Source organism: Homo sapiens, chromosome 8, assembly GCF_000001405.40.
Source record: "Homo sapiens chromosome 8, GRCh38.p14 Primary Assembly".
In the NCBI taxonomy this organism is placed as follows: Eukaryota; Metazoa; Chordata; class Mammalia; order Primates; family Hominidae; genus Homo; species Homo sapiens.
In genome coordinates, this window is record NC_000008.11 from 58,929,550 (window position 1) to 58,957,095 (window position 27,546).

Sequence of the window (27,546 nt, forward strand, 5' to 3'; positions counted from 1 at the left end):
AGATAATAATAGTTAATGAATAATGAAGATAGTGGTGTCTTGAAATGAGACTGGCTCATTGTTCTCCTGAAAAATATTTTAGATGAATTCTCCTATGATTTCATGACAAAATGAGTTTATAATGCAACATTTCAATGTTAATAATCTACTTGCATAAATCAAGCAAAAAGCAAGTCAAAGACATGGCAAGCTGAGATATAATCATTTTGTAATTAAAAAAATAACATGAGTCATATGGGCAAATGTTTAATAGACATCAATTTTTCATATTACTGCTACTTCTGCCCCAAGACTTTGGAAGACTAGGCACAAATATACTCCTTTAGAAGTCTTGTAATTTTACTGATAGTTTTTCTCTATAAAAATAGCCATACTCAGAAAATAAATGGATTTATCTAAAAAGGAGGATCAACTACACATTGTAATTAATTGTCAAATACATCAATTTAATAGTGGAATAGGTTAGAAATGATCAGTAGTAAGTTGATTAAGTATTAAGACTATAAAGTTAGATCTATGTTTAGGGCTCAAATTCATTTAGGTCTTTTGAAAGCATTATAGAATTTTAGACACCATGATAAATGACATTGTACTTTCTATAAAACTGGAATATTTGTATCATTTTAGAAGACTAAACAACTGCTTAGAAGTGTCAGCCCAAAAAGCAATAATAATCTTGTACCTGTCTGGGGGAAATATTATGGCTAGAGATAACTTTAAGTGGGAACAAATAGATTCATTCAATCAGAAAAATAGTTATTAAGCTCCTACTATGGGCTGTACACTTATATAGAGCATTGCTATCAGCAGTTTCTACATGGAGGTCTAGGCAATGAAACCAAGTAAACTCTCAGGGTTTCTAGGTCCTCTTTCCTGTAATGAGCTCATGAGGCAGAGAGAGAACAAGAAAAATGTTTTTCTCCATGGGGAGTGGAGTTAATGCTGAGTGTTAATGCTGAATGGGGAAGGAAGGAAAGAGAAAGCAATTCTTGACACATGAAGCACCAGCATGATTATTCAAGGTAGGAGAGGGAGGACAGAACATTCGCTGGACCTGAAATGAGGAGCGCAGAGCTCAGTTCTAGAAGAAGCACTGGAGGAAGGACCACCCACAAGAAGCCCCAACCATACCCCTACACATGCCTGGACAGATCCTCCAGGTATATAACTGCTATCCAGAACAGGCCTGTTTTCATTTATTGTTTATTCCTTCTTTCCAGTCCTATGTCTTCTTTATCCAGGTTCTGTGCTGCTTTCCCCAAACTGCCCCCTCAACACATTACGAAACATTCTACTAACAATTTTGAAGTTATAACTAATGACTGAAAGCTCATGGCTAGGATCTGGAAATTCTTACTTATGGACATACTTAGAATCCCTTTGTCCAAAGACAATTATTCAAATATAAACTACAATAAATTTTTTTATTCATCTTTGTTTGCTAAATAATTGATACCCAGGCAGGAAAAAAAGATGCCTTAAGAGCAATACCACAATGGCCTTTTCAGATGTTTGCCTTTAGGACATGAAATGACCTACACAAATACAAGATGGGAAACTGCTGGCTAGAAACCAACACAGCAAGAGTCACACACTGTAGGAGGGATCAATGAATCAGCAATTAAACATATCAGCAATCAATGATGCTATTAAGGACCCTATCATAAAACATCCACGTAGAGGCAGAGAATAATTAGAAAAAATCAGAAATTAATCTGCAATCTCAGGTTCTAGAGCTCTGCCATCCATTGTCATCAACATTCCTTAAGATCATAAATGTCAAAAAAAAAAAGAGCTAATTTGATTTAAAAGTTGAAAAATAATGACCTTTGAGGAAAGGTTAAAGGAATTGGGGTTATTTGGGCCAGATAAAACACAACTGCAGGATTGACTTAATAAATGTCAAATATTTGAAATCAACTGTTCTCCAAGCATTCAGATGGCTGAGGCAGACAAAATAGGCTAAAATTTCCTATTTGGTAAGCAAGAGATTTTGGTTTAACTTTAATAAGGAACTTCCTGGAAAGAATCTAAATCTCTTACTGCAATTTAACTTAATGTTACAAGGTTAATTAAGCACAAACAGGCTACCAAGGAAAGTTATGGAATCTTGGCTCTTAGAAAACCACATATCTCAAATGGTTTAGGTTTACTCCTGCCTAGACTTAAGAGACTGGATTAAGTAGGTCCCAGAGTTTGCTTATAGCATATTATATAACTGATGTTATACCCTTTTTACTTCTTTCATGCATGGGTGAGGCACACATTTGTATGAACTCAAGGGTTGAAGAAAAAGTACAAGAACTCCTATATACCAAGTGAATCTTGAGTCTGATTACTTGGCTTAGAAAAGAAAAAGTGTTATTTTTAAATTGGCTCCTTTCCTGAATACTATTAAGGAGAACTCTAGTTTGGGATAATATTTTATTATAGCAATAAAAGCCCCAAATCGTTAACATACTGAGTCCATTGAACTATATCAATACCACATTCAAAGTAGTCTGTTTTGTGCAAACAAAGATCTTAAGTAGATCTTAACAATTAACTATAAACAACACCTATTCTTGGCCTTATTAAGAATTTGTCCAAAAAGGAAAAAACCCAACCAACCCGCATATTTATTGTATTTGGTCAAAACTAAGAACAAAAAAACCAGCCCATTTCTTCACAGTATTAAAGTGGTTTAACGCATTGTTCTTGGGTTCTGCGATATTCAAAAAAGGATAATTTGTGAAAAAAAAAAACAGGCTATAATTGCTAAACATTTGATGAATTGTGGCATAATGCTAAATAATTGTTCTTCATCATTTTTCTTCTGTTAAAGTGGCAAAATTATTTTTTATGGCTTATTTTCCTCTTTGTTTAAAGAAAGAAACAAGCTGCGGTGACATCCATTCCATTTTAAACAAACACTTGTATTATTCCACCATTAAATGGGCTGACATCATAAGCTCCTCCGTGTTCTGAAAGATGCTTAGCTCTAGTCCATGGTTACATACTTTATGCATTACATGAAATAAAATACCTCAAGATTTGGAAAATATTTATTTTAAAAACAGCAATCAAATTGTCTGTAATCACATTTTCTGCTTGGCTTTGAAAGCTGCATTATTCAATAAGCCAGTGGTCTTTTCCATAATGGCAACATATTGGAAATTCATGCTGCTCTAATACATCTGAATTCCTTGATGTGCGGCACTCCCTATAGGCCTGAAGGAACACTTCTGCTTCAGTTTCATGAGTCCTGTATAGCACCTATGAAAGCGATGGTTGTCAAAACAGTTGTACAGTGGCCTTTGAATGCAAAGTGTACCATGACTGAATGCTAAAAATGACAATAAATCTGAGTATATACATTAGGCTTGCTTTTGTTCGCTGGAAAAAGAAGGCATTTGGGAAATAAACCCCCCAATTTTATTGCCTTTTAACATCTTTTTTCCATTTCAAACTCCAGAACTGGAAATTTGACACATTCAAAGAAATTGAAATCGCCTTTGTTGCTTTCCTCATTGTAAATTTTCTATAATGCGTCATTAGGAAGCACACTCTACAAAAAGCCCAGGTTCTAAACGAATCCTTTCTTTGAGGCCATTCTAAAACTTTGCACGGTTTTTCTTTGTATGAAAGAGCTTCTGTTGACTGCACAAAGAACAAGCAATCACCACATATAGGCCAGGCTGAGAGTCTGGGATGACTTTATACAAGGTTGCATTTTCCCGTTCACCAATCCATGATTAAGTGCAGCGGTGAATATACCAAAGTGGGGAGAAACAGAAGAGAGGCTCTTGATTTCAGTTTGGAGAAATCAAAGGATTTTTCTTCAGCCATGAATACTTAATATGGGCATTTTCTTATTCTACCTTTCTGCTAAAATAGTTCCGTAGTTTCCTTTTAACAACATGAAAACACTATCCATCCACACAAAGCAATATCACTTTTTTTTAATGGCAGGATTACATTTTCCAGTCAAAAGAAATTATCTATCCAGTAGGTTCTTATAACTGATTAAACTTTGAAGGGGGGTGGGGGGTGCAGTTAAAACACTGAGACAGCCAAAGCCATGGCAAGAAAAATTACTAAGTAACTAAAATGACAAACCCGGTGAGTCTCAAAGTCTAGATCAAAGTTGTGTGGTTGACAGAAAACAAATTACAGGAAAATGCTAGTCCTGAGAAGGATCATGGAGATCAACTAGTCTTGGGGCTTTCCATCTTCTTGGGGGCAGAACATTTGTTCAAGGGAACTTTTATAAGAAATGCAAAGAAAAATAAAAGCAACACTGTTTCCTCTAACTCCTGCACCCCACCCCTGACACCACTCCCAACAAGCTCAGTGTGGATCCAGTCTTCTATAGATCTACTCCAGCCCTGCTGGTAAGAGGGTTCAGTGACTTGCCCATGACTGACAAGCTTATCCATGGCTCTCATTTCAATGCTTTTCTAACCAGACTCTATCTCTGAGAAGTGCACACAAATCAATTACTCACTATCAAAATAACTCAGAGGAATGTTGAGAAAAATGGAACTCTTGCATATTGGGTCATGAATGACTGTTTAACTTGGACCTAGAGAATCAGAACTAATTGGCACTTATTTGACAGTTACATACTTATAGAAATTCTACCCTGTTTTATAGCCTGTCTTAGAAAAGAGGGACTTCAGGAAAATGGAATCCTTTTCAAAGTGCCAGAAATTTAACTAGTTGCAGGAATCCCTACTAACAATAAAATGGCACAGACAAGAAAATGCAAAAAAGTGGTGGGAAATTTGGGAAAAACTTTCACTCTATGTATGCTGCACCCCAATATGTCTATGATAAATTCCAGAAGGCAATATAGATATCTACCTTGGATACCTTTTTATCAGAAAGAGGTTCCCATTGAATATATCTAGCCAGACATTACAGATATTAGCTACTTTAATACTTACAACATGATGAGATTAAACAAGTGAAACTGAGGCACAAAAAGTTACTCACGGTCACACAGCTGGTAAGCAGAAGTGCCAGGATTTGAACTGACGCACTCTGGCCCAAAGACATCAATTTGAATCACAATGATAAATAAAGACACCCAGTAAAGGGTAAATACTCCTTTGGTTAATAGTAGGCTTATTGCAGTCTTTTTTGACAGATGTGAAGATTCAGGATGAAAGTATAAATAACTCTTTTGGAAAGTCTTCCTTCCCATGCATTTTAACTTCTCCAAAAGAGTCATACAGGCTTGCTTTTCTCATTTTATTTAACCAACACTTATATAATGCTTCCTATGTGCCAGCTACTGGTCTGCGTAATCTTAAATATTTCCTGAACCCCGTGAGGTAAGGCCTAGAATTATCATCCCCATTTTCCTGATAAGGAAGCTGGAGTAATTACTGACTAAGCCATTAAGTCACTTAACCACTTTGAACTTTCATTTTCCATTTGTAAAATTGGGATACTAGTTCCTCATTCAGACACTGATTTTTAATTATGGACTAAATTGTTGATGTCTAATATATTAGGCATTTGTAGGAAATGCTTATAAATGGTGAAACTGTATCACTTATGTTGCCAGTGGAGATAAGAAACAGAGGCAGATACAAGAGAATATATCTAAAAACAAAATTTCAGTAAATGACATACATTATAATAATTGATATATAAGTAACACATCTATAATATCTCATAATTCATATATAAAACATCACAATAACATCTAAAATCTATACAGTATCTAAATATATACAATAAATAATATAAAAGAACTTAAGTATTTTTCACTTCCTTGATCCATTCGAATACTAAAATGTCATCATGTGAAAATACTAATACAAAGATACAATCACAGTACTAACAGCAAAAGGCTCAGCTTTGATCACATTCAAGAGCTTTTAGAAAATATAATTAGAGAAAGTTGATCCTACACATAAATTTTCCCAGGATGGCTTCTACTCATAGGATTTTTAAATTCACAGCAAAATCAATATTTAGAATCTACAACTGTTAGCTTTTATTAGTTGTTCTCATATTGTAGGTGACCTTGAAAGAAAATCTTGGAAGGGGCACTGTCATTTCGAGGTGGGCAACATTTAAACTCTCATATCTGTAGACATTATTTTCCTGTCTAATGGGCACTGATGACGTAAACTGTCCCTACACATAAACATATTTCAACAATTGGCAAACCAGTCCGTAGCTCAGTTGTTAAATTTTGTGATCATATTAGCCATGAGCAAACTTGCTAGCAAAGAGTTTTAGTAAGTTTTTACAAGGAAGTGTGATGAGCAAATTTAATATTCAAAGTTTCTTTCAAAGAAACTAATTCCTTCATGCTTTTAAAATGTAAAATATGAAAAGACAAAATGTTGTTCATCTTTAGATCCATACATATTTGTGGATGCAAAAATGGCTTAATGGCACACCACACTGCTCTAGTTCCTCGGCACCTCTTACCTACATTGGGATAACGGGCGCCAGCGGCTTTCCATAACCCCAGCCTCTTACCGCTGCTATCTACACAGGGTCCTATTGCCAGAAGGATTTTCCTACAACACTGCTTTCGTAATACTTTTGCCCTTGAGTAAAAACCACCAGCGATTGCTTCTAACCTGTCCTAACATGCCCAAGTTCTTTAGGTGGTTGTTGAAGGTTTTGGTCAAATCTCTCATTTCAAAATACCCAATCTGATTTTTGAACACTCTCCAACATGCCTTTTCTTTCCTCTTGGTTTATCCAAATCAAAGCCCTCCTTCAAGCCGTGACGGCTGTCCTACCTTTTCTACTAAGTTTTATACCCAAACCAGAGTATAAAACTCTTTCAACTAAGAGTTCCTACTGAGTTCATGGCCAGTACATCTGAGTTGGGCACTCTCTTGGTCTCTAATTGCCCCATGTTTCTAATTGTTTCATAACTGTTTATGTTTTCACTGTCCAGAAGGACAGTAGCTAGGTCTTATCAATCATTTGAGCCTTTTCAAACATTGAGACCATGGTAAGCATTCAAAATATATACACTGAGGAATGGCATTCTAGTCGTGTGGGAGCTCAAAACAAGAACTGAAGAGGCTCTTTGTTTCTCACAGGAATTAGTAGACAAAAGATAGCTCCTGATTCTTCCAACTTTATTAGATTTCTATTGCAACTTTATAGTGTATCAGACTCTGGCTTCTGGAATCCAGCCAGAGATCCCCAAGCCTTGAGAAACAGAAACAACAAATTTAATCTCCAAATCTTCTTTCTCTGAGACCATGCTGGCCTGGAAAAATTGGGCTTAATATAGACTTAATGCTAGAATCAACATCATTAACGAGACCTATACTCTCTAACACAGTAGCTGCTGGGTGAATGCGGCTACTTAACTGTAAAGTAATTAAAATAAAATAAAATGAAAAATTGGTCCCTCAGTCCCACTAGCCACATTTAATAGCCAGTGACTACTGCTGTTGGACAGCACAGATTATAGAAGAGCTCCATCGTCACACCACATTCCACTGGGAAGTGCTGAACCTTACCCACTGTCTCACCAACACGGGCATTTGCTGGAGTCGCTTTTTGCTTGCAGCATTAAAGGCTAGGACCAGTGCTGTGAGGAGGCACAGGAGACGTGCAGCTCCAGAATGTAGCTTGAGGGGTACTGGGAAGGCTTGCCACCCTATGAAAATCCCAAACAGGCTCATCTTCAAGAACTAGAATAGCAAATCAGAGCTTCATTCCTTTATCTTAGGCCAAATAGTAGATTTGTTTCCCCTATACCCTGCAAAGTGTTGAAAGTTCCTAGGGAAACATCATGTTGAGGCAAAATTATCAAAGTCCAGTTTTTGACAGTAGGTTGGTGGGCAGAGAGCATAAGGAAATTTTATGAACAGAAGGAAGCTCCTGATAGGGAAAGAGGAAGGGACAGTGGGAATGGACATGAAAATGGCCTATCTTGTGGCTGTGACTGAGTCCAGTCCCAAATGTGCCATTTGAGGATGGCATGACTGCCATGGGCAGCAAATCTGGAAAAAATCTCTGAGCCACAGTTACTGACATTGCATAAGCATTTGTTTAAGAGTGACGTCTCTTAAAGGTGTATTGAGATGGATGTAGAAATGCTAAGGAGGGTAAATTTGTTACTAGAAAGGAGGTAAATTTTATAAAGGAAAAAGACTTGAACTATATAATTGAATATCTCATTATCCTTCCTATGGCCCCAATCTCACTCCTACCATGGGGAATAAGCCTAGAGAACAAAACTGGCATTTTCCATGCATACTGAACGCCCCCTTCTTCTCCTCTCTAGGGAACAGGGGTCCCTACAGAGGCATGACCTGAATGCCTTCTTTGGCTCATGAATTGGGTCTGAAGGCTTAGTCCCAAAGAGAAGTAGGCAGGTGATTTTTCAAGGTGACTACACTGAAATACATTTTTCAGCTTTACACATTTAGCACGTTAAAAAAAATCCATTTTCTATTTATGGAGTCATACTTAATACTCATAAGCTAAATCTATACAAGTGGAATATAATCTAAAAACCTGAGTGATGGTGCTGCCAATGAGTCTCCCCTCTTGGCTGCCCAGATGGCTGCCAGATTTTAGGAAAATTCTATACACCATTGTGTATTAGGCAGTAGGCTCTGGGTTTCATTCTCTAAAGAAACTACTTTGGAGTTTCTTTTGACTCTACTTTTATTCCACCCTTATGTTCATGATTAACAGAAAAGTCATCCTGCAAAATCACTCAAGTTAGAGATATATCCCCCAATGATTTAGATAAGTGATAATATGAAATGTGTTTTTTAATATTGGCAAGTTAATTAATTTATTCATTGTGAAAATGACAGTACTGTTCGATGACTTATGAAAATGACAAGAGAGTTAGTTGGACTGTTAAGTGAGTGAACAATGAAAACCAAAAAGTGCTAATTAAAAGCCACTGTAAACCTGGGAGGAGGGTTTTATGACATGGTCTAAAGCTCTCTCCTTGGCCATCTACTACTGATTTTTTTTTCCACTATTGGGGTATAGACAGAGAAATTATTAAGTTTCAGATGACATAAAAATCAGAAGGAAAGATTTTATAATAAGCCAGTGTTTCTCAAGTATGGGATGCTTGTAAAATATACAAACCACTGGACTCCCTGGGTAGAGCCTGAGAATTTGATTTTTTGCTAGTTTGCTGGTTGATACACATTCTTATTAAATTTGAAAAATTAATGGGAATTCATAGTGTTGTCATTATAAATTGTTAGACAACAGGTCCAGTAGACTGCAATACTTTAATGGAGATAAATTTTGATCACCAGAATTATACCTCCAAAATAAAACTGAAAAATTTTTTCTTACCTTCCTATGGTATACATTTGTGGAAATTGAGAGCCGAAAATAGGAAGGAAAATCAAGGTTAACAGCAGCTGCAGTTCAGAAGATGTGGGGATCTCCCTTTTGGGGAGGAATCCTCCACTGGATGAGAGGTGGCATCTTTCAAGATGACTTTTTCTCTGAAAGCTGGTAAGCCGGTTTGACTCTATGACAGCACATTCAGTGTCAAACAATATTTAGTACTTTGGGTCATAAATACGAGTGACTGCACAAGTAATTAATTGATTTTACCTTGACTTAAATATAAAATAGAACATTGCTTTAGAAATGTGTATGATTTATAAATAACTGTCTCCACAGCTAGAAACAGTTTCAGAATGCTATTATCACAATGCCAGGCCCTCGCATGAACTTGGTCCTTGTCCTTATGGTATCCCTCAGCCCCCACCACAAACAGGTAAGCAGATTCTTACCACAGAAATGGAATTAGAAAGCAGTGTTCCATCCTGGCCCAGCATATTGGAGACTGTGATTTCAGGGAGGTCCATGTTTTGTGGATGAAATGGTAGCAGGCCATTATGGTTCATGGGGTGACACAGAGAATGGTAACCAGACTCAACTTCATTCAGGTGCACCAGCGAGTGGTCTGGGAGGGAAGGAGGAGTAATTGGTGGAATGTTGAAGTCTTCACTTTCCAGGCTTGGACCAGGGTAGGACTGTGAAAAGACAAAAGTGACATTGTTGCAAATTATCATCTTCTTGCTCTTCATCATCATATCAAACACTTGACCCTTTAGATATTATTACAAGCAGCATATGGATTTGGCAAAGACATTTCAAACCTTCAGATTATCCTGCTGCCATTTCATCATTATGCATGAAAGAAAATTGCCTCAAAGGCAGATCCACTTCTCGTATAAAGACCACTTCCATTAGGTGGTTTTATTTTTCCAAAAAGCTGAACTCAAACAGATTTCAAAGTTCCCATTAAAATTTTCCAGAGTTTTAATCTAGCTGAATACCTCTTTCATGGGAATTGTACGGAAGGAAGGCAATTTATAAAATTAACGTTTGATCAAACATGTTTCACGGGGCTCCCTACTGCTCAGATCATGGGATGTAATAAAAACGAATTCCAGAAGTTCTGGGCAATTGCTTTTGGGTTTTGAAAGGCTACCTGCTCACAATTGACAAAAGAAAATGTCGTAGAAAAGAAGCGACTTAAACATGCTGCATAAAAGTGTAGTTCCACTGAAAGTGTGATATATGAAGAAAATGCCATTAAGAGCTATTTTTATCGCAAAGATCTTATCATCAAAATCAAAGTGAAGATTACTTTTATGATTTCCAATAAGATTTACTTGATTTCCTCCTAAGAGCTGACAAATAATATTGCAAATATTTAAATTCAGTTCTGTCCATTTTGAAAGACAAAATAGTACTAATATTATTATAATACTAATTCTGGAATAAAAGCCAGCAGTAAAATAAATAGCATTAACATATGTGGGTTTTTTTTTTTCTTTTACAAACTAGCATTAGATAAAATAGAAAGGGAGGGAGGGGAACAGGAAGGAAAGATTATGTGAGGACATGCCTGTTTGAAATGGAATGTGGTAAATGTTGAAAAATACATGGAAGAAATAAAAAATCAAACATCGTTACCAATTAATATTAAATACACAGTGATATATAGCAGTCCTTCATAGAACAGGTGTCACAGTATGAAAGGAAACGTTTCGGTCCAGATAATTCTCGCAAGCTTATCTTTCAAATTAAGAGTGAGCCTTCATAGTGTTTGGGTGTATGGGTGACAAGGATTCCCTTGTCTAACAGCCCAGTGCCTGCTCAAGTGTGCAAGATTTGAAATGAGCAGGCAAGGGTGGGAGCCAAATAAAGTAGTGTAAGGTATTCATATGGTGTCCAGCCAATAAGCGTCATGCTCCTGTGTCCAAGCGCCTGGGGTTATTTTTTCCAGATGGCGTCTATTTGTCTAACAGAAAGAAAATCTTCAAGTTCCACTTTCTAAATGTTGTACAAGTTTTGATATATTTGTTTAGGTGCCATCAGAAGACAAGACTAAATGAAGAGCTACTTGGAACATCTGGAATTTAGACCTGGTCATAGAGCAGCACATGTAGGTTAGAGACAGGGGGTGTATGAAGGGAAAAATTTGACTGTTATATGCAGATAATTTTTCTTAAATATCTAAAGTTCTGCTAAAAAAATCACCAGCTCTAGAAGTTCAATCACTTGTTACCAAATTCTCCTGTTAACAATATGTATCCCATGTGAAAAATATGTATGTGCTGTGTCAAAATTACAAGTTTGATGAAATTCTCACTCGTCTGATATACTTTAGACCCTTACAGATCTAAGCCATTGGTTCCTTGTACAAGTATGCATATAAGCATAAAAGATGCCTAATGGGGAGGTGGGAGAGATGTCTATTTCATATTAAAGCACTGTACCAAGGTCTTTGACTATGTTGCCTCCATTTAACCATTATAGTAATCCATTGTGTAGCTATTATTACCCCCAGTTTCCTGAAGAGAAAATTGAGACTCAGAAATTAAATAACTTGTCCAAGTTCACTCAGCTTGGAAAAGATCAACTCAATACACATGAGGGATAAATATATCATAAAAGATGGCATTTTTATTGCTATGCTATTTATAAAGTAGTTTAATTGCTACTATCTTATTAGGTTGAATGATACAAAATTGCCAACACCCAACTGTTTCCAATAAACAAAATTTCATAATTTAAGTAATAGTATTAGCATTAATATCAGGCCTTTCCTTTCCCAAATTCCACCCCGTTGCCCACCCACTGAAATTATATGAACATAGATTTCATAATTTGTCTGTCAACACTGCAAATGCTGAATTGTTGACATCTATCTTTTAAGAAGTTAATTAGTGCCTGTTTGAAACTCTCCTGGCGGGGCGCGGTGGCTCATACCTGTAATCCTAGCATTTTGGGAGGCTGAGGTGGGCAGATCACTTGAGGTCAGGAGTTTGAGACCAGCCTGGTCAATATGGTGAAACCCCATCTCTATTAAAAATACAAAAATTAGCCGGGTGTGGTGGCGCATGCCTGTAGTCCCAGCTACTCGGGAGGCTGAGGCAGGAGAATTACTTGAACCCAGGAAGCGGAGGTTGCGGTGAGCTGAGAGCGTGCCACGACACTCCAGCGTGGGGTGACAGAGCAAGACTCTGTCTCAAAAAAAAAAAAAAAAAGAGAAAAGAGAAAGAAATTCTCCTGAATAAGGCACAACTAATGCCAGCAATAATGGAGAAAGATGTTTTTAATTTTAGGAATGCCATTAAATCTCTGAAAATACTAAGGGATAATCCACCTATAGTAGACCACCACTTTACACTCTAGGGTTTCTTCAGTAGTTAATTCTTAATTTGTGGTGTTTAAAAGAAGGTTTAATTGGTATCACTTTACATTCAGTGATAACAATTGTATTGCAATTGAGTTAAGCTACATGGTTTATTTTCATGTAATTACACATTAATGTATTTAATTCAGACAACTATACACCAAAACCACAGATTCCACAACTTAACTGGTAATAGCTAGTTATGTGGATCAAGAATTTTAACTACTAAGGTTACTTAGTAGTTTCTGTTCTTTATATTAGAAATCATGATATGCTTATTTGCCATGAGCCTATTACAGTGTAATTGATGCCATATAAAAGTATAGTGGTAATTGTATAAATGCCAAAATGTCCCAGAACTTAGAACAAGTTCAATGCCAGGCTAATTACTTATTATTTTTTAATGTGGAAATGAATTTGCTAATTCTTCATCATTGGTTTCTATGACATGAGAGCTTTATTTTGATTTTTAAAAAATAAAGATACATTTAACTTAACAATAGTTTTATAATTTAGACAATTTGCAGTTTTGGGGGATGTTATACAATAGAATATGATTCAATATTTTCCCTATTCCCTCCTCACCAAGTAACGAGTGAGTTCTTGCTTGCTCACACAGATCCAATTGTTAAAAAGAGACTGGTGCCTCCTCCCATCTCTCTTGCTTCTTCTCTCACCATGTAACACATCTGCTCCCCCTTCACCTTCCACCACCAGTAGAAGTTTCCTGAAGCCTCACCAGAAGTTGAGCAGATGCTGGTGTGATGCTTGTAACAGCCTGCAGAACTGTGAGCCACCTAAACATCTTTTCTTTGTAAATCACCCAGTCTCAGGTATTCCTTTATTACAATGCAAAAGTGACCAATATAATTCCTCTCTGACTGCTGCTCTGATCCCCTGAAGTGACTGGTACCTCCTATCCCATAGTGACACAGAGATTTCAGAGGATTCGTAAAGGAGAGTTTGTGGCCCTCTGGCTCTCAGAAGCTATGGAGCCTAACCCCCATGGCAGGTAGGATATCAGGGCCCCTTGGGTGACTGCTGGGGCACGTGAAGGAAGTCACAGCAGCAGTTCTGATGCCCATGCCTGGCCAGAAGAGAAGCCCTGATTAGACCACAAGAAGGTATATGAGTGATGAGATCAGGGGCTGAATTGTCAGAGAAGGCTTATGTGAAGGCCATGCCTGGGTGATACAGGGGACCTGGTACACATGTCCACTTATTCCAGCAGGTTCCTTTTCTGACTTGGGCTTATTTCCCTCCCTCAAGACTCAGTGAGGCCTGGAGTTTACAGATCATTCATTCTCCAACTCTCTTGGGAACAAAGATCACTTGGTCCTTTCCAAGATGATCCCCAGATGCCCAGGAGACAAGAGGACTACTTTTTTTTTTTTCTAAAAAAAAAAAAAAACAAACAAATTAGAGGCCACCAAGGAGTGAATCACATGTCCTTGGAAGTCCTATGAGTCTGGGTTCCAGTCTAGAATGCTGAGGGAGGCCAGGTATAGATTTTCAAAGGTGGTATCATCTTCTTCATCACATTTTATAGTGACATGTACCCATCCCAGTTCAGAGATTGGAACCTGAACAGCAGCATGAACCATGCGAGCTCCCTCTTCCCCAACCAATGCTGAAAGTCAGCAATGACCATCTTACACAAATGGAGAAAAAGTATTTAGGGACTACAGGGTGAAAATCAGGCCAACACTTTTAATTTTATCTTGAATCTTCACCATATTAACTCAAGGTAAATTGGAAACATATTAGCATACAGAGTGATTTGTTCTAAACCAGAGGCAGTCTAAATGATGCACATGATTCAAAGAACTCAAAATTATATTACTGTTACTTAACCAGCTTCTCCCTGATCTTAAGCTACTCCCTGGTTCAAGACACAAGAGAGTCGCGAGGTGTTGCTAGTGCTGAGCTACGCAACAGGACTCTTGTGTTCCAGCGCAAGAGGCACTGTGCATCACTCTGCGGATGGGAAGCAGGATCCCAGCGCCACTGAATGTGGGTTAGAGTGGAGTGAACTACCATGAGGCATGGTTAATTCTGGAAAATAGATGAACTTTTCAAGCCCACAAGGGAACTGTTGGGAGCATTAAAGTAGTAATTTCAAAATATTACCAACCTCAAGAGTATTTCTATGGTTCTATAATAGAGAGTCAATTACTATTTCAAGTCATTTTCTTAAAACCTTAAAATTTGGTAATCGCACATTTAGCTTATAAAGTGCTACATCTTTCTCTGATGAGAAGGAGACAGATGTTGGACTAGGCGAGAATACGCATGACTTCTTCAGTGACTGTTAAGAATGGCCACTGTGCATGTTGCCAAGAATTGAGGCTTTGAAGCCCAATGGACAAGGTCTGCTTCCAAGTCCTTTAAACCACATATTAATTTGGGTTCTGCAGCAAGCTTAAAAACCACGGGGTTCTTATAAGCATTAAAAACAAAAACATATGTAAAAAGCCTAATAATATGTGTTTGCCAGATACAAAGTTCTGGATAAACAATGGCTTTATATAGCTACGGTTACTGTTAAACGGATTTATACATGCCATGGGTTGGGTCATGTCCAACAAAACAAACAACTGTAGACAGTACAGAAGATTTAGATCCATTCTCCACAATGTCATTATAAAGGAATTTCAGTATATTTGCCATTGATTAGGCCTCATAGTGGAGAAAAGTGTAAACCCGTTCATACCTAATGTATTTATTTATTTGCTCCCCATAAATAGCTAGGTTAAGGCTTCACCTTTATTCTAACGGAATTAAATTGCACTTTTTAAGTTAAGGAATAAAAAGATGGTGGGGAACAGGGTGGCAAAGGAAGTGGAAGGTGCCAAGAATTACTGCATGTGCAGAGGCCCAACAACTTTGCTCCTTCGGGGAGCTCTGCTGGTGGGCCTGCAGCTCTGGCTGATCTGGTTCTCACAGTTCAACTCCTACCAACCCAACTAAAAGGCGAATGAATTTCTGAACCAGAATGTCACTGTCTAAATTTGTACAAAAGCTATACTTTCTAACATACTGGCTGTGTCCTTAGAAAAGCGAACTTCTCTGGGCAATTCTTGGCAAGGAGGTCAAATTGCTAATTAGAGGCTCACTTTTGAGACTATTAATGGAATCAAGAGACTGAGATTGGGAAAGTAATAGTGGATCCTTCTGATTTGCTTTGGTTTGATCTGCTTGGATGCCTTTTCAGCCATTTCACTAAAGCCAAAGTCCTTCCCTGAAGTCCAACCTTCCCAGACTCCCATTTCAGTAGAAAAGGAAACTTCTCACCTGATTCTGGGAGATCTCATTTCCCCTGCCTGTTTAATGACATACTCACATTCCTTTTTAATCATACTGCTTTACATGTTCCATGATCTGAGTATCCTGTTTACATTATTTTCTCTTCTGCAGTCCACATTTCCTTTTGCTACAGCCAGTTCCTATATTCTTATTCTATATGACAACATCTGGAAATGGAATGTTAATTATGCTGACTTTTCTTTTGACTACAGAGAATTCATGTTTTCATACGGCCCAGAGAGAGTGTTAATATATGCTAACCAGGAATAAATAATGGGAAATCTCTTTTAAACGTTGCCTTTTCTTCTCTTTTCAAAATCTAGTTTCTCTACCAGAGAGGCATTGTATTTGTGAGTCTCTGTCCACATATTGCAATCATTATACAGAGCACTTTATCTTTGGTGACAAGAAGTCCCATAACTCAGAAGAATTCAAAAGATATCATCTCGTATGTATCTTTAAATTATGTGATGGATTCATGCAATCATGCATACACTAAAAATATGGCTATGGTTATAACTTTGTCAAATATGTTTCTCATATAGAACTGTATTTGAAAGATAAATAAATAGTACTGCCATCAAACATATACATAATGCACTAATTTTTAATCTGTAACATAATTCCTGAAACTTAAGGATAGAAGAATGCCAATGTTTAAACATGTTTCATCTTCTATTATTAAACATTCCTGTTGCATGATTCAGAGAACTGAAGGGAAAGCAAATTAAACTGAGAAGTTTATTAGAAAAATAATAAGCTTCCTCTGTACATTTTTAGAAGTAAAGATATTACATGTAATGGTGATTTTTCCTGAAAGAGTTTAAATTGTGTCAATATAATCTCTGATTTCTTTTGAGAAGACCTTCAGGAGTAAGTATTTTTCAGATTCTTTTGTCTCTGCATGAACAAGGGTTGATAGCTTGGGACTATAATGTATTACTGTGGAAAGCTTCGGTCTGTTCCATAAATCATCTTAACGCTCAGCAAGAATTGTCCAACAGTGCCATTGATATATGCTCAAGCCAATGATCCTGCAAACAATTTTTTTGTCTTTCTTCATGCTTTAGACAATAGCAATAAATCATCTTCATTTAAAAACACACAATGTACTAATTTTTCAAGCAACAGTTATCAAAATGAAATTTTTGGTAGAAAGTATGACATTTATTTGTGCTCATTAATTTTTTTAACTGGTGTTAAATAAAAAGCAATGAGTGCCTCATTTGTTACAGAAGCATTGTCATATACCTACTATGTGTAAGCATCCTGCAAAGAGTGATCTGAGATACAAAGAACCGAAAGACACAGTTTGTGAAAAACATCAAAAGATATAGCTCTCATTTTGTAAAGATTTAAAGAATCAGGCTTATTTATAAAATTGCGTAAGAAACACTGGCAAATTATAGGTGATACTAGATCTTCTTTTAGTTGCATTTATGGGTATTTGTTGATGTACATGTTTCAAAAATCATATAAATTTATAGAAATTCAGTGTGTTGTCAGTCATAAACCTGGTTATCTTAAAATGTTATATATAATAAAAAGAATTGAATATTTGTCAATTGTAAGCTTTCATCAGCTTTTTAACCATGCTATTCTAAGTTTTAGTCATGTAGCATTATTGTTTTTTATTCTTCTCTAAAAACATTTACAATCAGATTCATGAGAAAGACTCCAAGTTCTCTTCAATACAAATTTCAGATAATTTTAAGATCCATAGGCTACATAAAATTTCTAGAACTCTCATAAAGAATTTGATGGAGTCATGAAATGACTCAGAGATTAAGCAGAACAAAAGTTGATTATATGAGATTGAATAACTGATCAAGATCAGGTTTTTATACTTTTATTTAAAATATTGTTGGTCCTTTATTCAAATGTTTTGTCTTCTAGATTTAAGAAAATTTTCTCTCTTCAGCTATATGTAATTTACAGCAATTTGGTAAAGTATAATTTTATAAACAAAGATAAAAATGTTTTATTACATTACTTAATTCCTCCAGAATTCAAAAACTGTGAGTGTTCTTATGGCGATATGGTTATTTGCATAAGTCCAATAAAAATCTCTCTATACTAGGAAAAAAAAGACACAGTTTGTTATAAAGATAGTGAATTAGAAGAGAGAAATGGGAACTTAGGCTCTCAATAAAGAACAGTATATTTGAAGTGTCAAACTAAGTGATATCAGAGTGTAAACAAAAAGAATTACTTGAAGCTGGGATGATCAAGGGATTGCTATAAGCAGATTTACACTGATATCAGGGCCTAAAGATCAGACACTTCTGCCAAGATGCGATAAGTGATCAGGGGAGGACCACAAAACTGACAAATGAGCAAGTCCAGGCTACTGTCCAGGCTGCTGTCCAGGCAATAGCATGCAGGTTCAACAGCAAGGTCAGGCCTTCAACCTCTAAGATAAGGTCAAGGGCAAGACTGGTCCCACCAATCAAAGCAAACTTCAGGCTACTAGGCTCAATGCAGGCCTCTTCTGGAACTGGGGAGTAAGGTAAAATTTCACTTATGAAAAGCCAGTGTGCAAAGCCGGAGTGACACCAGAACACGAGGTCAACTTGAACCTGCCCCAGAGAATGTCTGACACTGGCTCTTCCTGGGACCTGGGCTGGGGGACCCTGAGGTCAGGGTTTGCCAGCTGAGGCTTTGAGGATTCAGGGATTACTGGAACCCTGGGCTAAGCACCTGAAGCAGATCAAATGAGGGTGGGGCAGGGTAGCCCTAATACTATCTGCCTCTCTCTCCACATACTTCCAGGAAAGTCCTTAGTGTTTACATGCAGGGCTTTCTCCCGCCATAATTCATTAATGATACCAGAATGGGGAAGGGATTTGTCTCCTCTCAGTATTGCTTGGGGGTCTACATAAGTCTCCAAGCAGTATTTTTAGGGGGAATTTTCATACCAGGCATTGTACGTAATTGTCATAAATAAGGGCCTCTCCTTTGGCTAAAAAAATCCCCAAGCTTTTGGAAAACAAATAATGTACTCCCCCTCCAAACCATAAACAAATCATTAGAGAGACCAGATTCAAGTGAAAGGAGCCACTTCTGAAAGTTAGTCAGGACATGTTTTTTAGTGCTAGATCATCTTCCATATTCAATGTTTAAAGGGGTAACTGAAGTATTTAATTTCATCATTCAGCATATAATTTTATACATAATGCAATCTATTTTTTTTAGTCATCTAGACTTTTTCAATTCTCATATTGAGTTCGTACATTCTGAGATCCAGTTCTATATTTTTTGGCTTTATTTTATAAATAACCCATGTTAACTAGCTTAAAAAAATTAGAAAATATACATAGGAAAAAAAAATCACCTTTAATCCAACCACTCAGGAGCAAAACATTAAAATGTGTGTCTTTCGAGATTCTTTTTAGTGCATATTTGCTAGTTGGTTTTGAGCTTTTGTTTTTGTTTTCCATAACAAAAGTCAGATAATTGAGCTTGGATTTTGGAGCTGGAAATGCTGAATACAGATCTCAGCTCATCCCTTAGTAGATGTATTTACTTAATTTCTCTAAGCCTCAGTTTCCAAAGCTATAAAATAGGGATGATGATAGTCTCCAATTCATTAAGGATATATCAGGATTAAATAAGACAAATGAGATCATGTAAATACTTTGAGTAATACACTGGTTCAAAGAAGCAATCAATAAATGTTAGCTATATTTTTATTATCACTTAATGTGATGACTTAAAATGGACTGTGAATAATTTTCCATGCCAATAAATATTATCAACATTAGTGTTTAAATGGTTGCATATTGCATTGCATTCATGTTCTTTCATTTATTCTATCAGTTCTCTATTTTGAACATTTAGGATGTTTCGGATATTGCTGTTGCAAACCACACCATGACAAATAACTTAATCCACTTATTTCCTTAGGATAACATTCTATAGTTCTCTACTTATGCTCAAATGGAATCATAGAATGCTTGCTCAAGAAGAAACCTAAGAAATCGTCCCTGAACTTTGCATATGAGAAAAATGAGGTCCAGAGAGGTTAAATTATTTGCCTGCATTTATAGAACTAGTTGGGCAGATGAGAATCCCAAAAAAAATTAAATAGATATTTTTTACTGTTAACAATTGATTGCAATTTATTAGGTTTTAATATACTATTTTAAATCATGTGCAGCCTTTAAGTTTTAATAAATTTTTATTTTTTAAAAGAAATGTGTTAAATTGATTTTTGCTTATGGCTAGGTTCTATTTGCTAAGCCATATGCAGGCAACCAGCATGGAGTTGAGCATTCAGTGTTGGGCTCTTTCTATATGTATATAAAATATATATATTTTTATATGTGTATATTTCATATACACATATAATATACAATTACATGTGTATAGTTCATATACACGTGTAATATACAATTACATGTGTATAGTTCATATACACGTGTAATATACAATTACATGTGTATAGTTCATATACACGTGTAATATACAATTACATGTGTATAGTTCATATACACGTGTAATATACAATTACATGTGTATAGTTCATATACACGTGTAATATACAATTACATGTGTATAGTTCATATACACGTGTAATATACAATTACATGTGTATAGTTCATATACACGTGTAATATACAATTACATGTGTATAGTTCATATACACGTGTAATATACAATTACATGTGTATAGTTCATATACACGTGTAATATACAATTACATGTGTATAGTTCATATATACATATAAAAATACATGCTGTACGTGTCTATTTATGGCCAATCATTTTTATTTTGTCTCTTGAGTAGAAATCAACAAATGCTGGGTGCAAACTCACATTCTGCATAAAGAAGCCAAATTAGCGGAGGACCAGAGCTAACAGAAAGCCTGTGCTCTTGGTTTGCCTCCTCAATCAAGGGGTCCAGAAAAGAGAAAAAGAAGCTCCCATTTCTACTCATCACATGCTGATATGCAATCCTACTCCCAGGGAAGAATTGTAAGTGCATCTCTCTAAATACTGGAGGTCATCTCACTTGCTAGATCTTTCCTACAAAGAAAGCTTATGCTGAAGATAGGGATGTGGAAAAAAATAGTTGAAAAAATGAAGACAATTTCCCCCAGTTTAATGACGATAAGAACCCTCGATGTTCAGTTCCCCAGAAGTGGGATTTCTAGGAAAGAGTGGAGGGAGGGTGAGATGTCTTCTGTGGAAAGACTTCCTGTAGTTTATCTTCTGGAGGGGAAAAGGAAGAGAACTTGGGTGGGAAAAGAGTCCTGGACTTGGACAAGAAAAGTAGTGGAGTGTGGAGGGAAAGGACTGGGCAGCGGTGGTGCAGGCATGGCAAAAGCTGGCTGACAAGGGGAGGGAGGAATCACTGCTCTGCATCAAGGAATCCAGGGACAGCAAATATCCACTGTGTGATTGTTCAGCTTTTATATGTGCACAAGTATGAAATTACTGCTTTGTAACTAAGAAATGGTAAAATAGCCATGATTTCATTTGGCGTAAGCTAATATTTCCCAGAGTATTCTCACACACGTAACACATTGCCGTTATCTCAATACTCTAGAATTGAAGTATGTCAACATTTTGTCCTTAAAGTTCTAAAATAAAATTAAGCCTAGCTGACCAAGGATGGAGTTTGACAGAAGCCTTAGACCTTCCAAGGTCAGAATCCTAGCTCTAATATTTACTATCTTTTTGAGGTCTGGTTAAGTCACTCTACCTCTCTAATCCTCACTGAATTGTTGTAAGGATCAAATGAAAAAATAAGTGCATAGATTTTGTTTAGTTCCTTGTCAGAAACAGGTAGCTTCCAACTGAGAGCTATTATTATTATAAATCTAATTATTTCAGGACACTGGGGGAGGAGGGTACTGACCTAAACTTCCAGGCAAGAAGAAGCTTCCTACTACTGAAATTTATCATCATCTTTCAAAGCAAGAAGTTTCATTGAGGTCAGAGCACAAGAAATAAAAAAAAAACTTTGCACCCATAGTACAGGGAAGTCCAGGCTTCCTTGAAGGCAATTTCTGTTGACCCGGTCTCACCTGGCATCCCTATTTTCCCCCACTCCCATTTCCTCCAAGGTTACTCTCTTTGTGATTTTGGAGAACAACAACAAACAGTAGGCTTAGCTCTTCTTGAAGGAAGGCCTCCCCTGAAATGCTGGGAGGCCCAGTTGCAAACAGGAAAGCCTTCGTTACTGGTCTTAAATCATGACCATCGGAACCCTTGGGAATTTCAGATCAGGCTATCACATTTGAATAATCTGATGCTGGGCCTTGGAAGTCACTTGTTTGGCTTTGCTACTGACAGCATCAAATATCCTAATTTAAGAACAGCAAAGGATGTAGGGAGAACATTTTCTAAGATAGCCACCAATTAATTTCAAATCATTAGGGTTATAGTTACATTTTTAAACACTCAAACTGTAAAATAATATAGATCAGAAAGAACACAGGAGAAAGAAAAAATACAGATATGGACGAAGATTACACTAAAACCCTCTTTGTGTTTCTGGGAAGTCTAGCTAGGTCTGCTCCCAAACTGAGGAACTGAAACTGCAGAGGGAAACTTGGCACTTTTTTAAAGGTGTTTGAAGTGGCAGGTGAGGATACACAGGAGGAGGTCTCAGAAGACACTGGGGTAGGTGGAAAACACCTTAGCTTTTCTAAGCCCCACTGTTTTTTATAGTAAAAATGGGCAAAACTGCTTCTACTTAACATAATGACATATTGAAAATTTAGTGTTTCTTTAGAACAATCTTTAAGCACCTTGGAAATGGAACTAGCATAGACAGGTGACATTATTCAACACATTACTATTCTTAAATTGAAGTATTATACTTATTTTGGAGGGCATTCTTTAGTGACAGGTTTATTATGCGCTACCAGAAAAGAATACAACATGTTATAATTGCAAAATTTAACAGGAAGGATCATTTAGTTTTTAATAATTGTTCACATGCTAAAGAAGAAAATAGTTCAAAATATAATTGTAAACAAGCCAAATGGCTGCTTTCAAAATTTATCAAATGCTACCACACAACTGGTCAGACTGCAGTAGTGCTACAACTCCTCCCTCCAATGCCTAAATATGCTGGCATCACTTGACATCTGTCTATTGAATAAACCATGCTCCATATGGAGTGCAAGGTTTTGAGAATCTGTTTTTACCACTAATGCTATTCCATTCAGATATTTTCATGATTTTTGTCACTGAAATACATTTCCCTAATACTTGACAAAACATACTATTTGACATTTATTCTAAAATTCTCACACCTACCCAGAAACAAATAAAAAATGAACCTTATATTCACAAATCCCACAGCTTGGAAATGTATATGATACACAACATTTAACCCATCAGCAGCCTCATTAGTGTCAATGAGTAGAAACTGGCAATCAGTAGATGGTGTGCTCTACATGTGTTTATGTTTTAAAATGTTCCTAAAATAGCTCATCCGCTGGCGAGGTTGATATAAAACACTTTTCCTGGACAAATGAATTTCAGTTTAAATATTATGGCCTATTTACTTTTTTTTTAGGAATTCATATTTTCATGTAGATGATCATTTTAGCTAATGGAGTCAATACCCAACTAAAATAATAATAATAAATAATAATAATAAAGGCTGGATGGGTCAAGAATTACCTAAAGTTCAACAACATCAATGTGGTTGGCCAACAAAATAAGCAGAAAGGCCAATGTGTGTTTGACTATCCCAAGCCCTAAGATATATATTTGTATGGTGCCTGTATTCAGTATCCATACAGCTCTTAAGACATTTTTATAAACTGTAAGAAATATGTGAGCTATTTCAAGATATAATGCTGAAAAACAGACTTCCATGTAAGAAGCCAATTTAGGAAGAAAACAACATAAACAATAGTAACTTGTGTGCTCAAGTGAAGCATCTTTTTAATTTTGAGTAATGAAGATGTCAAGCCAAATGCTAGAGTAGTTTAACTTAATTAGGTGGCCTATTTTTCCAGGCATCCTTTCATTTCCCATTGAAAACTCAGCTTGTATGCAAGGCAACAAGAGCAATTTTGTCTGTAATGAATACCTCCGGGACTGCACAGAGTAATCATTTGAATGTTACACTGAAGACTGGTTTGAGTAACTAGTCTGGGCTTGTTAAGATGCCAGACTTTGTTGGGCTAACTCGATTACTCAGAGCATGGCAGCTTTATCATTCTATTGGGTCAATGGTCAAAAAGTCAAGTTAATGTTACTTCTGAAATTTCTGCCAAAAGGAACTAATCCAAAAGGAATTGGTTTAATTTACAGTTCAAATTTATGTCACAATCAACATGGAGACGTTATGGCCCACAGTAAAGATACCTTTTTTTTTTGAAAGTATTCTAAAAATATACTTTCTAGGCCCTTTTTGTCATACCTCATTTATACTCTAACCTGGAGAATTTTCTCGTTAGGAAAACATGAAATTAAACAAATAGAGAGTCATTAATTTCTTTGTAAATCTTAAAACATAATTCTAACAGTAGATTTGAGAGAATATTGTACAAAAAGAAATTTGGAGCACACTACTGTTTCCAATACCATTGCATTGCTGATGATAAACAACAGCATGATGTTATTGTAATAAGCATTGACTGTCATTATCTAGTTTATTATCATGTTAACTCTTTGAGTCTTGTACTTGAAATAATTCTCCAAGGAGGAGGGAGTGCTATAACCTTCTGTTAATATATAAGGGCACTGACACAAAGATAAAGGTTCCTACTGCAATGGACAGGGCAGGGCTGGATTTGCTAAATGTCTGCAATGCAGGGTCAAGAATTGAATCGTTGCAATGGAAGACTCTAAGTATTCATGTGATTAAAAAATGTACATAAAATATTTTAGTTGATTTGCTTATCTTTCAACAAACAATGCAGCATACCTCTGATATGTCAGACATTATTCCAGGCACAGGAGAGCCAGACAGAAACAAGAATGAGTCCTACCTTCAAGAGCTCACAATCAGGTGAGCAAGACAAGGACATTCCTGGTGATGTCAGTGTGCCATGTGCCACCCAGGGACAAATACACACCATGATAAAGCAGCCTTGTAGACAATGGTGAGGCAGCAAAGATGAGGAAAAGGAAATGAGAGAAGGTAAGATGAGTTCATGAGAAACTGTGAGTCCTATAACAAAGGCAGAAATTGTGTAGCTGGAAAAGAGGAGATGTACTCAAGAGTTAGGCCAAAAAGTAGAATCAACACTCTCTGGACTCAAGAGTTAGGCCAAAAAGTAGAATCAACACTATTTGGAATTAACCAAAGGCAGAATGACAAGGGAGACTCCCCAAGTCTCTGTTTTGGGTGTTTGAACAGGTGGTGTTAACACTTCTGATTATAAGCCATAAAGAAAAAAGAGAAGATAGTGGGTGAGGAAGCAGGTGGGAGGTGATGAGTTGTGGTTTGATGAACTAATATGTTGAATTTGAGCTGCTATCAGCAACAGGGGCCCAGTGGAGGTAGAAATCAAACCTTAAATTCACATGAAAGCTGTCCTGGATATATACATGCTCTTCAATTTTATATTCAAAATGTACTTTAGGAACTGTATGTCAAATGCTTAGTTGTAACTGATTCCAGGAAAACATAATATTGCTATATTTTATCATTCTTATTTTTAATCTTGAGATTTGAGGGATCAAGTAAGAAAGAGACAGAATTCCAGAGGGTGCTGGGGGTCGGGAGAGAGAAAACTGCTCACAATCTCAGAATCCTCTAAAATATGATCTCGGGCCAGGATATTTAATATTTAGGGTTTACTATAATGCTCATAATGAACAACAAAAAATAGTTCAAGCTTAAGGGATAACCGTTCACGGAAAGAAGAAGGAAGAAAGGAATAAAAGCAGGAAGGTGGTGGGGAAGGAGGGAGGGAATGAAGGAAGCAAGGCAGGGGAACCAAACAGAAGGAAATGGTTTAGCAGAGTAAAGTCCAAGGTCCAAGAGGAAGTGATTTATTAAAAATCTAGTTCAATCAAGTAACCTGAGCTTTTCCATAACCTGATGCCAGGAAAATCTTCTCATTCTTCCTTAATATGAAAGGATTATTTCTTGTATTAAAAAGACCAGTCCTTCTTTATCTTTTCATACAGTACTTCAACTGAGGCAGGCATGTGAAGAGCTGAGTCCCTGAGTCCAGGGCACTGGTGGAAAACACAGAATGAACAAACAGGCAGCCGTGGAAAAGGACACTTTTTTTTTTTTTTTTTTTTGAGACAGAGTCTCCTTCTGTCACCTTGGCTGGAGTGCAGTGGCGTGATCTTGGCTCACTGCAACCTCCACCTCCTGGGTTCAAGCAATTCTCCTGCCTCAGCCTCCCGAGTAGCTGGGATTACAGGTGCACTCCACCATGCCCAGCTAATTTTTGTATTTTTAGTAGAGATGGGGCTTTGCTATGTTGGCCAGGCTGGTCTCGAACTCCTGACCTCAGGTGATCCGCCCACTTCGGCCTCCCAAAGTGCTGGGATTACAGGCATGAGCAACCACGCCCGGCAGAAGAGGACATTCTTGAAACTGACACAGAAGAGGAAAGAATGGGGGAAAGCCATGGCACATCTTCAAAACTGAAAAATCAAATAAAATAACCTAGTGCTGTAGAAAGTTCTGAAGAAGAGAACTAGACTTCTGCTTCTTTTGACGTATTTAATTTAGATGAACATTTATATCTTAACAACAGCCTCATATAAAGGACTATGAAAGGTACTACAATTATTCTAGGAGCTGGAGAAGGGGGCTGAAGTTTTATCGGGAGATAAGAGAACCCCATAGCATGCGTATCTGAGTGGGCTGAGAAAATTCTGGAGAAAAGTCAGGGCTGAGGTGGGAAGCCCAATGCCCCTCTGTTTTGTTCTGCCTGCTGGCATATTCGTCCAGATATTTTATAAGATACATTTTATTGTATAGATTTAGGGTGTACAACATGTTATGATATACATATAGATAATAAAACAGTTAATATAGTGAAGCAAATTAACATATCCGTCATCTTGCAGTTACCTATTTTGTGTGTGTGTGGCAAGAACAGCTAAAATGTACTCACTTAGCAAACATCCCAAATACTATATTATTATTATTATTTTGAGATATAATCTTGCTCTGTTGCCCAGGCTAAAGTACAGTGGTGCGATCTCAACTCACTGCAACCTCCACCTCGTGGGTTCAAGCGATTCTCCTGCCTCAGCCTCCGGAGTGGAGACTCTGGAGTGGCTGGGATTACAGGCACACACCACCATGCCTGGCTAATTTTTGTATTTTTAGTAGAGACAGGGTTTCGCCATGTTGGCCAGGTTGGTCTCAAACCTGACCTCAAGTGATTCTCGGCCTCAGCCTCCCAAAGTGCTGGGATTACAGGCATGAGCCACCACGCCCAGCCCTAAATACTGTATTATTAACTATAGTCCTCATGTTGCAAGTTACATCTCTAGACTTGTTCATCCTACATATCACTACTTTGTATCCTTCTGGTCTAGATATTGTCACCTCAATCAAACATGACAAGTTCAGAATGGCAAAGAAGTGGGTTTCTGACCAGCTGCTCATCTGGCTTCCTTTCAGT

The 27,546-nt window shown here is 37.0% G+C and overlaps 1 protein-coding gene across 1 annotated transcript in view; it reads right to left on the reverse strand.

The window, feature by feature from the left end:
• The window catches only part of TOX (thymocyte selection associated high mobility group box), a 313,736-nt gene that overhangs the window by 124,138 nt on the left and 162,052 nt on the right, over positions 1-27,546 (reverse strand). The window contains exon 3 of the mRNA NM_014729.3: positions 9,753-9,995. Within this exon, the coding sequence (NP_055544.1) occupies positions 9,753-9,995 (243 nt within the window). The remainder of the gene's footprint in view (positions 1-9,752; positions 9,996-27,546) is intronic.